Below are 14,988 nucleotides of genomic sequence, written 5' to 3'. Positions count from 1 at the left end.
CAGAAAGCAAGGGGGACGGGGAGCATGATTAGGACGATAATACTCTTTAAGAGTTATCAAATGGATATAATATCAAATCCTCCTAAGCCTCCTTCAGACTTAAGACCTTATAGAACTGAGAGCTAGATTGCACACTGAGTGCATGAGGAAAAGGGAAAAGAGCTTATAAAGGGCTGCATGGATCTCAACAAACACGACTCCGATCACAGTCATGGTTTTTGAGAGAGTCCTCCCTGTGCCCTTGATTCCTAATTACGAGCCTAATTTCCTATGGTTAAAAAGGAAATAGAAATAATTTTAAAAACTTTCAAAAAGCAGGGTGACTCTGTGGCCCTCTGCTTCTGGGACAGCAACCTCTCCTCCATCCCCAATTAGTTACATTGTCATTTCTTGATTTCTCACCCTTTTCAGAGGCTGATCATATTTTGTTTTCTACCATCTCCCTTTATTTCTTCCTTTGCCAGTTGCTAAGCACTCCCTTGTTGCTAAGTGGGATATGAGCACTTAATTTACTCCATTCTTTTTTCTCATACCAGATTTTAGAAATTGCAGATCCTGTTTAATCAATGTGTAAATGCAATGCTTTTGATGTATTTTTCCTAAGAGCAATATTTTGATCATTCTTAATGATACTTAATGAAGTCACCGCATGATTTCTGATTGTACCTAATTGAAGCTTGTGACTTGCATTTAAATATTATCATCTTACAGCTTTAGGTCTATGAGATGAAAATTTTCCAGGGCCCAAAAATATTAGAAAACATAAAGAATTGATGTTTTATTTTAAATTAAAAATTATTCTAAAATATTTTTATTTGTATGCTAATGCACATATATGAAATTAAGTGAAAACTGAAGCAAATTTTCCAAAATGTGTTTTGTATGTTGATGATAATGGGAGAAACCTCTTTGATGAACTTATTTAACCACTAGTTTAATCTTACAATGGAATCTAAAAAGCCTTAATATTAATACTTTTATACAGATCCTACATTGAACTATATATGGTATCCAAGTGCAAACAAAGCCTGGCTCTTGGAGGAGGTAATACCTTGGAAATTTATTTTTTCTTGAATCCTCTTCTACAGACCTAATCTCAGTGATTTAGTGCCTAAAAACCATAGTGCCAAAATTTTAACTGGATCCAAACTGTCTCATTCTTTTGATTTTGCTTCCCTTTCATCGAGATTTGTCCATCATGGGCCCCAATCCCCCAGGGTCCTTTTCTTTGCTACAAGACAGTGGGTAGTAATGATTTAATCAGAGACAATAACCCCTGCTAATATGTTAACTAGCTAATATATGAACCCTCCTAGGATAACACATTAGCCTTGACCCAGATCAGAAAGGAAAAGAGAAAAAAAAAAAAAAGAACTCTAGCTCCACTAGAAACCCTGAAGGAATAATGCCATTACAGAGACTTAACCCCATAGGAAGCCAGTGGGGGAACTACTTAAGGGAAGCTTTTAACATTCTCCGGTATCATGTGGCAGTCTTTATGTTGAGTCAATGGTGGAAATAAATAGTAACTGTGATGCTGACAGAAATCAATTTCACTAGTTAATTTTAATACCTCTCTCAGGGATTTCCATGAAGAATCATAAAGCACACCCAAAGCATAGATTTTGCGTATCTTTATAAGAGGAAAGAAGGCACCAAAGTCAAGGGGGGGGAATACTTTTATCATCCACATCACTTTCATTTCTTCTTAATGCTTTTTCTAAATATTAAGTGTTTATAAAGATATCTCTAATAAAATATTTGTTTTTGGAGTCACCTATATTGGTATTTCTTTCTATTTTATAAATAAGAAAGTCAAGACCCAGATGATTTAAATTAAATAAGGCGCAAAGTTTAGTAGACATGAAAGCTGAGACTCAAATCTAAGACTTTTAGTTCTAAGTCTGGGTCATCTCTCTATCTACCCAGGTATCTACCACCCTATTCCTCAGAGAGCTTGGGAAATGTCAGGTGTAACCAATACACACATGGAATCGTACTAGCACGACGGACCTGACTTCTGGGTCACTGAGCCCTATCCTTACCTCCATCTAGCTTCTGACTTCCCAACTCCCTAGAGAAAAACATTAAATCTATTGAAGCAGAAGGAGTCCAAAAGATAACAGTAAATGTGTTTTCCAATAGACATATTATCCTAAAGGCTGTTAGTTACTACAGTATGACTACTATAGTAGTACTGCTAGGAGTAGTACTAACCATGGTATAATCAGTGTAAGCTTGATCATTACTTGGACATGTATTTGAGGATTAAGTTAAGATTCTACTGAAAAAGATGCATTCCAACTGTCATACTGTCTCAACTATAGACGACTTGAGACAAATAATCCATTTGTGGCTTGAAAAACACCAGTATAAGACAGCAACCTTTCATCAAGGTTCTTAAAATATAAATATGGAAACAACATACAACAGAGTCTATTATGAACCAAAGCAAACTCTAATAGACATAGTAAGAATTCAGACAAGGAAGGGAACATTGCTACATATGAAGCATTGTGCTAAGTTATTTGCATGGATTATCTTGTTTAATCTTTTAACACAGCTAGGAAACAGAAAACATTATCATTCTCATTTTACAAGTGAAGAAACTGACATGGAATGGTAGGTAAATGGCTCAAGTCACACTGAGAGTAAGTAAGTGGTCAAGACAAGATTGAAATCCAGGCATCTACCTTTTGAACACAAACTGCATTCAGCCTCCTTGGCCTTGGTTCACACTCACACATATTAAGAGCTGGAATACAACTGGGAAGGCACAAAGTGGGACACTTTAAAAAAAAACTTACATTCTACTCTGGGGAAGTGATACAACATGGCTTAAATTACAGTAGAATTAGAAGTTCTCCTACTTCTTGAGCTGTCATATACAAAGACTTTATTAACTGGTCATTACTAACTTTGAAGCAATTCTCTGATGTGCTATATTGGTTAATATTTTTCTCAACTCTGTGGATAATAAAAAGTGTCTCAAACTTTAATATGCATCATCTGGAGACTTTGTTAAATAGCATACATATTCATATTTGTTAAATAGTGTATGCACTCATACATACTTCTGAGTATCTACTCAGAAGTTCTGGGCTGAGGACCTAAGAGTATGCATTTCTTACAAGTTTCCTGGTGATTCTGACATTGCTGATCCACGATCCACTTTTTAAGTATCTGGGATGTAGATTATATATTTATCTAACAGGCAAATGATAAAAAGCTGTTAGAAAATAAATACTTGAACCATTTCAATTACTAAACTTTGAATGGATTAACTAAAATTTGAGAACATTATGATTATTGGCAATAAAGTGCCTTAACTGGAAAGATAACACTTAATTAAGAAGAATATATAAGGGAGCATTCAGTTGGTTAAAAAAACACAAATAAAAAAATTGATGCCAACCGATTAATTAGCTCTCTCAAAGCCTCTGAGCTGTGAATGGTCAAGCCAGAATATAAACGCATTTAGATCTGGCTCCAGTGTTAATTATACTGACTGTGCATACTGTCTCTGAAAGGATGCAGATTAGAGTATGTATACACGCTTCATTTTAGGACACAAAAGGTTATTTGAACGAGCTTACAGCCTGTGAGGGAAGAAAGGCAATACGATGCCCAGAAAAAAAAAATCTAAAATATTAATTCTGTTGAGTCCTTGCACTCATACTTATCAGGCTACACTTGCAGTTTTGTACTTACCAATGGGTCACACTTTAGGTATGATATTGACAACATAAAATATGTTCAAATGAAATAAAGAGTCGTTTTTTAAAAGTCTTAGAAATATGTCAAGAGAGCTATTGAAAGAAGCAGTGATATTTAGAGTGAAGGAGAACATACCGAGGGATGATGTTGGTTAGTGAGAGATAGTAAAGAAGGAGTGGGATTGTTCTGTGCAAGTTCTGAGAACACCATTAGGACTAATAAATGGAAGTTGTAGCAAAACAATTTGTCAGCTAAATATAAAATATCAGCATTGGTAACATTCAACTGGAGGCCCACTGAATATCTTCAAGTAATCATACAGTTGAGATTCCAGTCCTGTGTGAGAGGTAAGAGTGGATGGCTTATGAAGATCCATCTCTAAGTCTTTGTGTGTAAATACTGTGAACTTAGAAATCACGTGATAAAGTCTTTTTGCAATATAGTACTCAAGAAGCAGCTTAGCTAACAGAATAAATTAAAAGGGGATTTTATTATTTAGTTACAGGTTGAAGGATATTAAAGGAAATCTAATTTATGACTCACTGAAAAATTGTATAAATTGCTTCCTCCTCTCTCTATTTCTGTTGTATAGCTGTTTAAAATAACCCACATGCTCTAAACCATAGAAATTTCCGCTTCAGATTAGCTACATATGGCATTTGTTTTCTCTCTCTCCTTCTCCCTCCTTTAAGCAAGAAGGAGAAAAACAGGAAAGAGAATCTGTTTTTGAGAAAGTAAAAAAAAGATTTGTTAGGTAGATTGAAGGGAGAAGCAGGTAACAGTTTCTCACTCCTCACCCCTGAGTCCAGGGTTGGAAGATTCAGAAAGTCTTTGCTCTGGTTCACTCTGGTCAAAGTCCAGCTTGGACTTCAGCATGCATATATTTATAGGGAGGAATGTATTGTAGCAGATATTAGAAGAAGGAGTATCAGGGAAAGCTGGCTTACTTCCTCTCAGTTATGTAACAGAAATACAATTATCACTAAAGAAATGGAAGTGCCATTCCCTTCAATTCTACCAATTTACACACTGTTGGGAAAAAAGAATAGCAATCTAAAATCTTGTAACTGCCAAATTGCCTTCCTTTCTTTAAGGATCTAACTCACTTCCTTAAAGAAATTATCATCATTTGATGACCATGGAATTTCTCCCTGGCTATATATAAAATAGAATCTGCAGAGTTGGTAACAGTTTAAAAAAATCAATCAATACTTCAGTCAATTTGCTGAGCGCTGACTATGTACTCGGTCACTTATTTAGTGTTCTGAGAGGATATGAGAGAGAAAAGATCTGGCCTTCAGAGGGCTGTGTTTTGAGTTCAATACTAGCTAGTAGTCAAATTCTCTTTCTAAATTTTGAATGTGTTTACATTTCTGTGTATGTTTGTGTGTGCTTATATCTTATATGCTAGTGTGTTTATGTATGTGGAATGGTGTTAATCTGCCAAAAGCAGAACCATACGTAGGTTTGTTGTTATTAACAATTTGGGACAAGACATCAGTTAAAGAGCTTGCATTAGAGGCACTAATTCTGGGAATTTATTTGTCTGTTTATCAAGAAGTTTCTACTGTTTTCTGTAAGTATAATAATGCCTAGTAAGCTGTTGCAGATTTCCACATCATATGCAACTAGACGGTAATATACCAATGTGTGGCTCTCAGCAGAAGTTGGAGTAGTTAGTTAGTGTCTTTTGTAATGGCTCTATTGATAATGGCTAATACACTATCACCGAATCATCGTAGAAACCGTGATAGATACACCTACTGTATACATAATGCTTATTGAATACTGCATACTGTTAGGAAAATGGCTCATAAAAATCCTCAATGTCTTTTTTGTCCTCTCCTCTTTTTCTGTTTCTCCTTCTGTGTTTGCTCAGTGTCACTGTGCTATGTAAATAACTGCACTGGGGTATGCGATGGATGAATGAGCATATGGATAGATATCCCTGTCATTTTTGTTGATAGTTCTAGAGACAATTCCCTTGAACAATGAAAAGTATAAGTTTAGATGGTCCAATGAACAAAAACTGTGTGCCAAATTTAAAAGAGAAATGAAGACAGTAGAAAATATATAATATTTCTAAGGCCTCATTTATTAGGCTCTGTGAGACAGCTTATGATGTAATAGAGGATACTGGTTTGGGGAGTTAGAACACCTGAGTTCTTGTCCTGATGGCTACTGACTACTGGTGTAACCTTGGGCAAGTCACTTATATATTCTGAATTTTGAAATGTGCATGTGTGAGTGTGTGTGTGTTGTGGGTGGGGATTGTGGTTAGTGTCTAAATCCACTTCTGGTTTTCACATTTTTTTGTTTTAGCAATTGATTCCATCAGAAAATTATTCAGCAAGCATTTATTTACTTTCTTTAAAAAAGTTGTGTCCACCTGTGAGGTGGCTCACGTCTGTAATCCCAGCACTTTGGGAGGCCAAGGGGGGGGCAGATCACCTGAGGTCAGGAGTTCAAGACCAGCCTGACCAACATGGAGAAACCGCATTTCTACTAAAAATACAAAATTAGCTGGGTGTGGTGGCACATGCCTGTAATCCCAGCTACCCAGGGGGATGGGGCAAGTGAATTTCTTGAACCAGGGAGGTGTAGGTTGTGGTGAGCTGAGATCATGCCATTGCACTCAGTCTTGGCAACAAGAGTGAAACTCCATCTCAAAGAAAAAAGGTTGTGTCCTTTAATGTGTAGAGAATATAAAAAGGTAAAGGGCATTGTCCTTTCCTCACTTTAAATCTAATTCATCAGAAAAAAATATACAAATCTAGAAATCAGAAAATATATAGCTAAAGGCTTGTTCATGAATTCAGATCATATAATGAGTAAACAAGAGGTTACAGAGAGCAATGGATGTGGTAGGATAATTTGTGAAAAGCAGTTGATGGGTATAATTCAGCTATGTAGTCTCACCTCTCCACAGAGTAATTCTCTGTCTTCCTTCCATACCATGTACTCTGCTCACCTGAACACCTGACCTGATACTAATCATTTATGCTTTGTCATGGGGGATAGAAACCTAGTCTTATTTTAAAGTCTGAAAGTTTAGACATTAGCAAAGGATTACAATTGACATGGGAGCAACAAACACTGAAACTCTAAGAATCACACCATGGAATCAACAAGCTATCCTTTTTATCATCACAATTGTTGCTATTAGAAAATAACTTTCTTGGTTGCAAAATTATCGGTATAAAATTAGGTCCTGTCCAGATTTCAGTTCTCTCCCAGGTAGAATTGCTTATAAGCACAGACTTCTAACTTAGAGATTTTATCTGTCATGCGGCAGAGTTCCAGAAGGCTGGTCCTATTATACCAGCAACATTATGAGGCTTTCAACATAGCTTTAGTAGACAGATTTTGGTTCCCTTTTGGTCAGAGTCTGGTGGAAGCTCTCTCTCAGGACCTGCCAGAACAGTAGGCAACTGTGGAAGCAGCAGCAATTAGTTAATAAAACTGTATTGTTCCTGACAGCTTTTACACATCTATTTTCTTCTGCTGACTAAGAAGGTCACCCAAATTCTATCTTTTCCAGCATCTTATTTTTGACTGGATCAAGAAAGAGCAGTGACAAACTCTACAGAGGTGCCACAGTGGAATTTTTAAGATTAATTAGAATCTTTGTTTTTGCTAGGGAATCTCATAAGCAGAAGAAAGAGGTTAAGTACAAGAAAGAATCTGACATTAATTCAAATTTAAGTCTTGGCTCCTACAGTGACTAGCTGTGTGATCTTGCAGAAGTTATTTATATTTTCTACATCTCAATTTATTTATTGGTAGTAATAATGAAACTTATCTAATAGGGTTGTTATGAGAATTTAAAAGGTCTATTTAAATAATTTATCACAGTGCCAAAATAGCAGTAAACATTTGTGGTTGTGGTGGTTGTAATCTTTCTTGAGACTAGAGAATGATGGATTAAAAACCAAGCTTCTGTATACAGAAGGAAAGACACTACAAAGTACTTGTCTGGTGGCTACTCCTCAACCTTCTTTGTTTTTGTAAAAATCACAACATAATGGCCTTCCTGAGACATGGGCATCTTAAGAGAAACCAAGGAAAGGGAAACCCAAGAAAGCTAGGAAATCATTGCAAAAGGTCTAGGAATTCATATTTAGGATAAGCAGAGACTATAGGTTGAGCAAATTATAGATATAGATACAGATAGATAAACAGATGATAATGTACTAGATGTATTGCATGCATATAGTACTCAATGTAGTAAAGTATATGATTAATAAAATATAAATTTATTTTGCTAGTAACTGAATTATGCTAAACATGCTATAAATCAGGAGAGACAAACAAACACCCACTATTCTGTGGAGGCTCAGAAAAATACGGGACATGCAAAAAACATCCCTGCAATGGACTTTCTGGAAACTTCTGCTAAAGGCAAATAACCAAGTGGCCTTTATGAAGGTCCCCTACTGGACTGGGTTCTCCTTGTCATTGAAGAAGATTTTGGAGGGACGAAAAGATATGATTACAACTGAGATAAGCACCAAATATATAAAGTTGGCTCCATGAAGATCCTCACCATTATTAACCCAACACCTAAGCTACCTAATGTCTATGTTTGCCAGAGAATTAAAAACAAAGAAAATGAGAAGAAGCTGTTGTTGTGTTTTTTTGACTGTACAGATACTTTTTGCTTGTTCTGCTGACATACAATATTAGTAAATAAAAAGAAGAATATGACTCCTTGATCCTCATTCCTACACAAATAGTGCAAAAAGGAAACTTGAAGGATATGACTAGACTAAAAGAAACAGCATACAATATTATGACCTTTTGCATAGAATCAAAATTTTGTGGCAAAATTTTACTGTCTAAAACCCTGAGGCAGAAGACTAGAGCTAACTCCAATAAATGGAACAATTAGAGGGGTAAATTATTTTTTCAATATATGTTGCACTGGTCTGAATTAAGTGGTAAGTTTTCTGTTCTTGAAGGTATTAAAACTGCGACGTGCTGGGAATATTGGAAAAAAACATACCCTATTCTAAAAGAACCTTGGCTGGATGACCATTTAATTCTGGTTTTCACGTATTTTTGTTTCGGTGCATTGATTCCATCAGAAAGTTGGAAAAAAAGGATTGAAAAGGAGTCCTGAGGAAACACTTGATTTTTCCGTTCACCTTGGATTGATCTTAGTAGGAAATTTTATGATTAGTGTTCAGTGCAGGCAACATGAAGCATAGAGCTGGTGCAATAACCAAAAATATAATTCTGTTCTTAAGAAAAAATATCAGATCCAATTGCTTCCTTTTTGGCCTGACTTATTTAGATCAGTTGATCAGCTCGAATTTACCAAGTGTTAGTTTGAGATCCCCCTTGGGAGAATGTAGGCTTTTATAAACCCTTTTGTGGAAGAGTGTGAGCACTGAGCATGGTGAGACATAGGGCTAGGGGTCTTGCAAATGTCCTTCAAGCCATGTTGAATCTGCCTATCCTGCTTCTAGTTTCTCCAAGTCCCTGAAGCCCTGCTGTTTCTCACTGACCACAGAGGTCACAGCAAGGGCCCTACCCACATATAAATTACGGTAAATTATACTCCTATTAGATTGGTCCTTTCTCCCCAGAGCAATAATTTTCAATAGCAGCAGTATAGGGCATCTCTGAGAGCATTTTGGAAATTTGGCTTGTTGGGGTTAGGGGTTGCATTTGTGTTTGGAGGATGCTACTGAAATGTAATGGGTTGGAAACAAAGAAACCAATCTATTGCCATGAATGAAAAATCTCACATGAAAAAAATTATCCCAAGCCCCATCCAACTTCTCAATGACTCACCAGTCTTTCACATATGTAAGCCTAGACTCTACATCTGTTTTGTACATAGAGTTAGTTGTAATATATGCTGGCTTTTCTGTAAATGCAACAGTCATGTATACCAAAGGAAGACCTTTTTTTTCAGAACTTTATCAAAATGTTTTGTTATTTCAGTAAATAATGTCACTGGTGACAATACCACTCCTGGTATTTTGACTATCAATCTCACCTGCTATATTATTCTGATTTGTAGTTCATGGAGATTTCCTGTTTAGGTGAGAGCATCCAACTACTTCATCGTGTTTCCTGGTATAGCACTGCCTATGCATTTAGATATTGAAATGTGTGTTTTCCTATGATATATAATTTTTTATTTTTTTCTAAATCTTAAAGTTAAGATGTTACATTTCTTTTAAAAATCTGTATGTTTGGCAGGGCACGGTGGCTCATGCCTGTAATCCTAGCACTTTGGGAGGCCAAGGTGGGCGGATCACAAGGTCAGGAGTTCGAGAGAATCCTGACCAACATGGCGAAATCCCGTCTCTACTCAAAATACAAAAAATTAGCTGGGCGTGGTGGCACGTGCCTGTAATCCCAGCTACTCAGGAGGCTGAGGCAGGGGAATTGCTTGAATCTGGGAGGCAGAGGTTGCAGTGAGCCGAAATTGCGGCACTCCAGCCTGGGCCACAGAGCAAGACCCCGTCTCAAAAAAAAAAAATCTGTACGTTTATAAGTTATGTTATTCATTAATTTCATTTCAGGATACTACACTAGCAATACTAGTATTGTACAGGAGGCATTTGTAGCTGTTAGCATTGAGAATAAATGCTCTAAAGAATTTCCTGTTCCAGGGCAGGCACGGTGGCTCACGCCTGTAATCCCAGCACTTTGGGAGGCAGAGGCAGTTGGATCACAAGGTCAGGAGTTCAAGACCAGCCTGGCCAATGTGGTGAAACCCCGTCTCTACTAAAAATACAAAAAAAAATTAGCCGGGTGTGGTGATGCGTGCCTGTAGTCCCAGCTACTCGGGAGGCTGAGGCAGGAGAATGGCATGAACCAGGGAGTCAGTGCTTGCAGTGAGCGGAGATCGTGCCACTGCACTCCAGCCTGGGCGACAGAGCAAGACTCAGTCTCAAAAAAAAAAGAAAAAAAAAAAAGAAAAAAGAATTTCCTGTTCCAGGTATAAGGCTTTCTCCAGTCTTCCAAACATCTAACTTCTAAACTTCTAGATCTATGATGACGAAATTTATGATCCTTATCCTTAGGAAACAAATCCATGGAACATCTGGTTATACTAATACCCTGCCAAAATGATTTTTCCAATTTGTTTATGTACTTCTTGGAAAATTATATGAGTTAATCATATGGGAAAACATATGATGTAGTCAGGCTGAAGTACATTCCTTACCTACCATCCCTTACGTATGAATCAATATACGCATTTGGTGTCATGTTATGCCTGAGTCCCAACTATTTTAAAGTGTCAGCTTCAGATGGATCAAATTTATTATTGGTGAATAGAAAACAACAATTCTGAAGTAAGAAAAAATGGTTCAGAACCGGAATTGAAGCACCAACTAAACTACTTCTTCCATAATTCTGGCAAGGTTCAATTTAGTGGTTAGTTAATTAATTGAAAAGGAAGAGACAGAGGAGGGAAAAAATGAAAAAAATAAAAGAAAACCTCCATCCATGTTGAAATGTAAATTGCACAAAAGTATTTGGTGCCCCCAGCAATGAAAAGCCTGTGGCAGGCCATGTATGTACGTACGCTCTCCTCTTTGAATTGTGCATGACGTGGCTGGCAAGAACATCTACTTTTAGTATCCGTTTCTCATGGCTAATATTAATTTTTTTTCTTTTATACCTTTAAAAATTGTTTCTCTCCCACTTTTTAAGTCTTTGTCTCTGTTTTTGTCTTCCCCTCTCTTTCTTCACACACAGACACACCACAGATATGCACACATTTTTACTTTTCTTTTTTTTTTTTTTTTTTTTGAGATGGAGATTTGTACCTTGTACTGTGCCCACGATGGAGTGCAATGGGATGATCGTGGCTCACTGCAACTTCCACCTCCTGGGTTCAAGCGATTCTCCTGCCTCAGCCTCCCGAGTAGCTAGGATTACAGACGTGTGCCACCACACCTGGCTAATTTTGTATTTTTAGGAGAGACGAGGTTTTACCATGTTGGTCAGGCTGGTCTCAAACACCTGACCTCAGGTGATCCACCCACCTCGACTTCCCAAAGTGCTGGGATTATAGGCATGAGCCACTGCGCCGGATACATTTTTACCTTTAATCAAGGCTCAATCGAGGCTTTTCCTTGAGAAGATTTTGGGACACCTTTCATATGCCTTGACTACTCTGTGTCTCTTCTAATTGTTCTTATGCATGCCATGAAGCCATATTCAATTTTCATCTCTCCTCTCTAGCATATTAACTCAACTTAACAATCAGTAGATATTAACTGAGCATCCAAGCTATAAAATATTCCACCATATGCTCTAGAACACTTCTTTGCTTAAAGACATTATATTTAATTTGGATAGACCAGAACACATATAAGTATAGTAAATCGATTTCCCTGGTTATCAGGAACTTTCACAGATTTTCCCTCCATAGAGCCTCAAAATTGTAAAGTAGGACATATTATCATTATTATCTTCACTTACAAGTTAATACAATGAAGCTCAGAAAGGTTAAATGAGGTTCCTGAGGGTGATGAATAATCAGCTCAATCTCTTGTCAGTTGATTCTTAGGTTTAAGTTAGTTCTGCTGTTGATGCTACTTCCTAGAAAATAATAAACAACAATAAAATCATTCCCCAAAGTATTATATAATTACGGTCCCTCTAGGGAATCATCAGTGAATATCCTTAAGAGTTCATAGAGGAGAGACAACCACTGTAAGTGTGATAGGTCAGGGGAAACCTGCTAAGCCTAATGGAAACGAACAAAGCATCCACTTCAAATACACAGGGCAGAGGAAGTTTTCAAACGGAAGGGAGTATAATAAAAAAAACTGAGGCAAGAATACATGAGACTTACTTGAGGAAAAGAGGATATCTAATGTCAATTGAGTCCTTAGTATGCCTAGGCACTGTTCCAAACGCTTTACCTGAAATTATTTATTGACTCCTCCCAGTACAATCACATTTTCGCAGATAATGATCTAAGAAACAATAACTTGTTCAATGCCTCACAGCAGAGGAAGGGTTTGAATTCCGAAGTCTGGCCTTAGAGCCTGTACACTTGTCAGGTTCGGCCATGCCACGTGGCATCTCCAACACTTTGGTGAGGTGGAATATGTCTATATCAATCTATCTATAACTAAATCTAATCTATATCATCTATAGCTATTGCTCTATCTATATCTCTATCCAGGTGAAAACAACCTCAGTTTTTATATTCTTCCCTTTACCTCCTGAGTTTATTTGCACATTTCAGTTATCTATACTTACATTGTTTTAGCTGTAGAGCATGGTTGGTCGGTTGGCTTTTTAAAGCATTTCCCCAGCACATACACAAATTATAATGCATTTCTTTCTTACTAGAATTCTCTGATACCAACACACCAGATATTATTTCTATTTCAGAGACAGAGAAAAATGCCCTATCTGAGGGTCATATGGTAACAACTTGGCTCTCTGCTTCTTTATTGTCTTTCATTCACAGCAAGTTAACTGAATCACAGCCTGCTGGGACATGTCACCATCTCAGATACCTTTCACTCTCTCTTCTCTCTCCATGTCTGGCTCCTACTTGGTCCTCCCAAAATGCTGCATGTCTGAAAAAGGATAGGAAATACATTCACCTTAATTCTAACTCTGAAAGTGGCAGAATAAGAGAAGAATTGGGGGGTGGGGGGGTGGGGGGCGGGGGGTGGGGCGGGGAAGGAAGCTCCAGAGTCCATCTTCCAGCAGCTGTTGGAGATGAATGATTTAGTGGCCCTAAAATTCTTAGAAGGCCAAGATACCACATCCCATGAAAGCCATCACCCTAAGGAGGAGATGAACCCTGAGGGAGCCTTCAGGAATTACCAAAAAAAAAAAAAAAAAATCTATTATGCATGACCAAAATAAGCTTCACGCCTAAGCTTTTGATCTGTTATTGACTCAGTTGGCTATATCCTCTACAGAATTGTGTATTTCAATTAAAAACAGAAGATAAGAGAGAGAAAGGGGGTAAAGTGTGAAACTTTGGGAGATTTTCAGCAATAATAGACTTTTACCCAATTAGCTGGCCTAACTTTCAGGAACTTTATCACCTCTACAATCTGTCAGGGCTGTTTTTCTTTGCTATCTTCTCTTCAAACAATTACAGGAAAGAAGTCTGAAAGGGTAACCAGGTCTGGCCTAGTTGCACCTGAAGGCTGAGGCTCCTTTTTCAGAGCAAGCTCTAGGCATTCGGCACTGGGCAAAGGTTTCCATCTTCACGCTCATTATAGCATGGGCTTCTTTAAAGCAGAAATGCCTGCCAAGCCCCAAATACATGTCCCATAATGAAGACAAATGTCCCCTTGAAGTGAGTTCAAACTGTGGAATTCATTTTGCTATGGAACTTTATTGCCATCTAATTAGAATGACATTTGGTCTGTCTAGTTATTATATCTGGAATCAAACCACAGACTTGGAGGTAAAAGCCTCTGGGCCAGGCGTGATGGTTTGGCCAGGCGTGGTGGCTCATGCCTGTAATCCCAGCACTTTGGGAGGCTGAGGTGGGCAGATTACCTGAGGTCAGGAGTTTGAGACCAGCCCTAGCCAACATGGTGAAACCCCGTCTCTACAAAAATACAAAAATTAGCCGAGCATGATGGCGGGTGCCTGTGATCCCAGCTACTTGGGAGGCTGAGGCAGAAGAAACACTGGAACCTGGGTGGCGGAGGTTGCAGTGGGCAGAGATCATGCCATAGCACTCCAGCCTGGGCGACAGAGCGAGACTCTGTCAAAAAAAAAAGCCCCTCTCTGCACTGTCTCCCTTCCAGAACTAAGCTGATTCCTTGTGTAGGGGTGGATGGTCTTCCTTTTGAGAGTCCTGGTCCTCACAGCCTGATTATTATTGAGGTCATTACTAGTAAAAGATGCCAGAGCTGAAAGCACCTGAGATATTTTGATCTGTCTTTTAAAATATGGCGAGTCTTTACTCAGCTGTGTTCCATTTCTGGAGTAAAATTAGTGGTGAGTGCCAGGGTGGGCTCTTTTCTCACCCTATTCCCTGGAATAGTGAAGCTATAAGAACACAGATATGGCAGATGTGCAATGCTTAGTGCCCTTTCTTTGGAGAGCTGACTGGCAGGGGGCAAGAATCACAAGGCATTTAATTTAGGGGATTGTCATCCGGAAAACTCAAATCCCAGCATTTAAGCTATATGGAAATGAATATATACAGCCTTCCCTTGGCATGTAGAATCGCTGTATTCTGTGATATTTCAAAGAGCATGGAGTCCAGGTGGTAGATCTTCACATAGGCCTAAGTGAAGGAAAGGGAAGTAA

This window comes from Homo sapiens, chromosome 18, assembly GCF_000001405.40.
Source record: "Homo sapiens chromosome 18, GRCh38.p14 Primary Assembly".
Taxonomy (NCBI): Eukaryota; Metazoa; Chordata; class Mammalia; order Primates; family Hominidae; genus Homo; species Homo sapiens.
The sequence above is the reverse complement of the archived record's forward strand: the minus strand, read 5'-3'. Positions refer to the sequence as shown.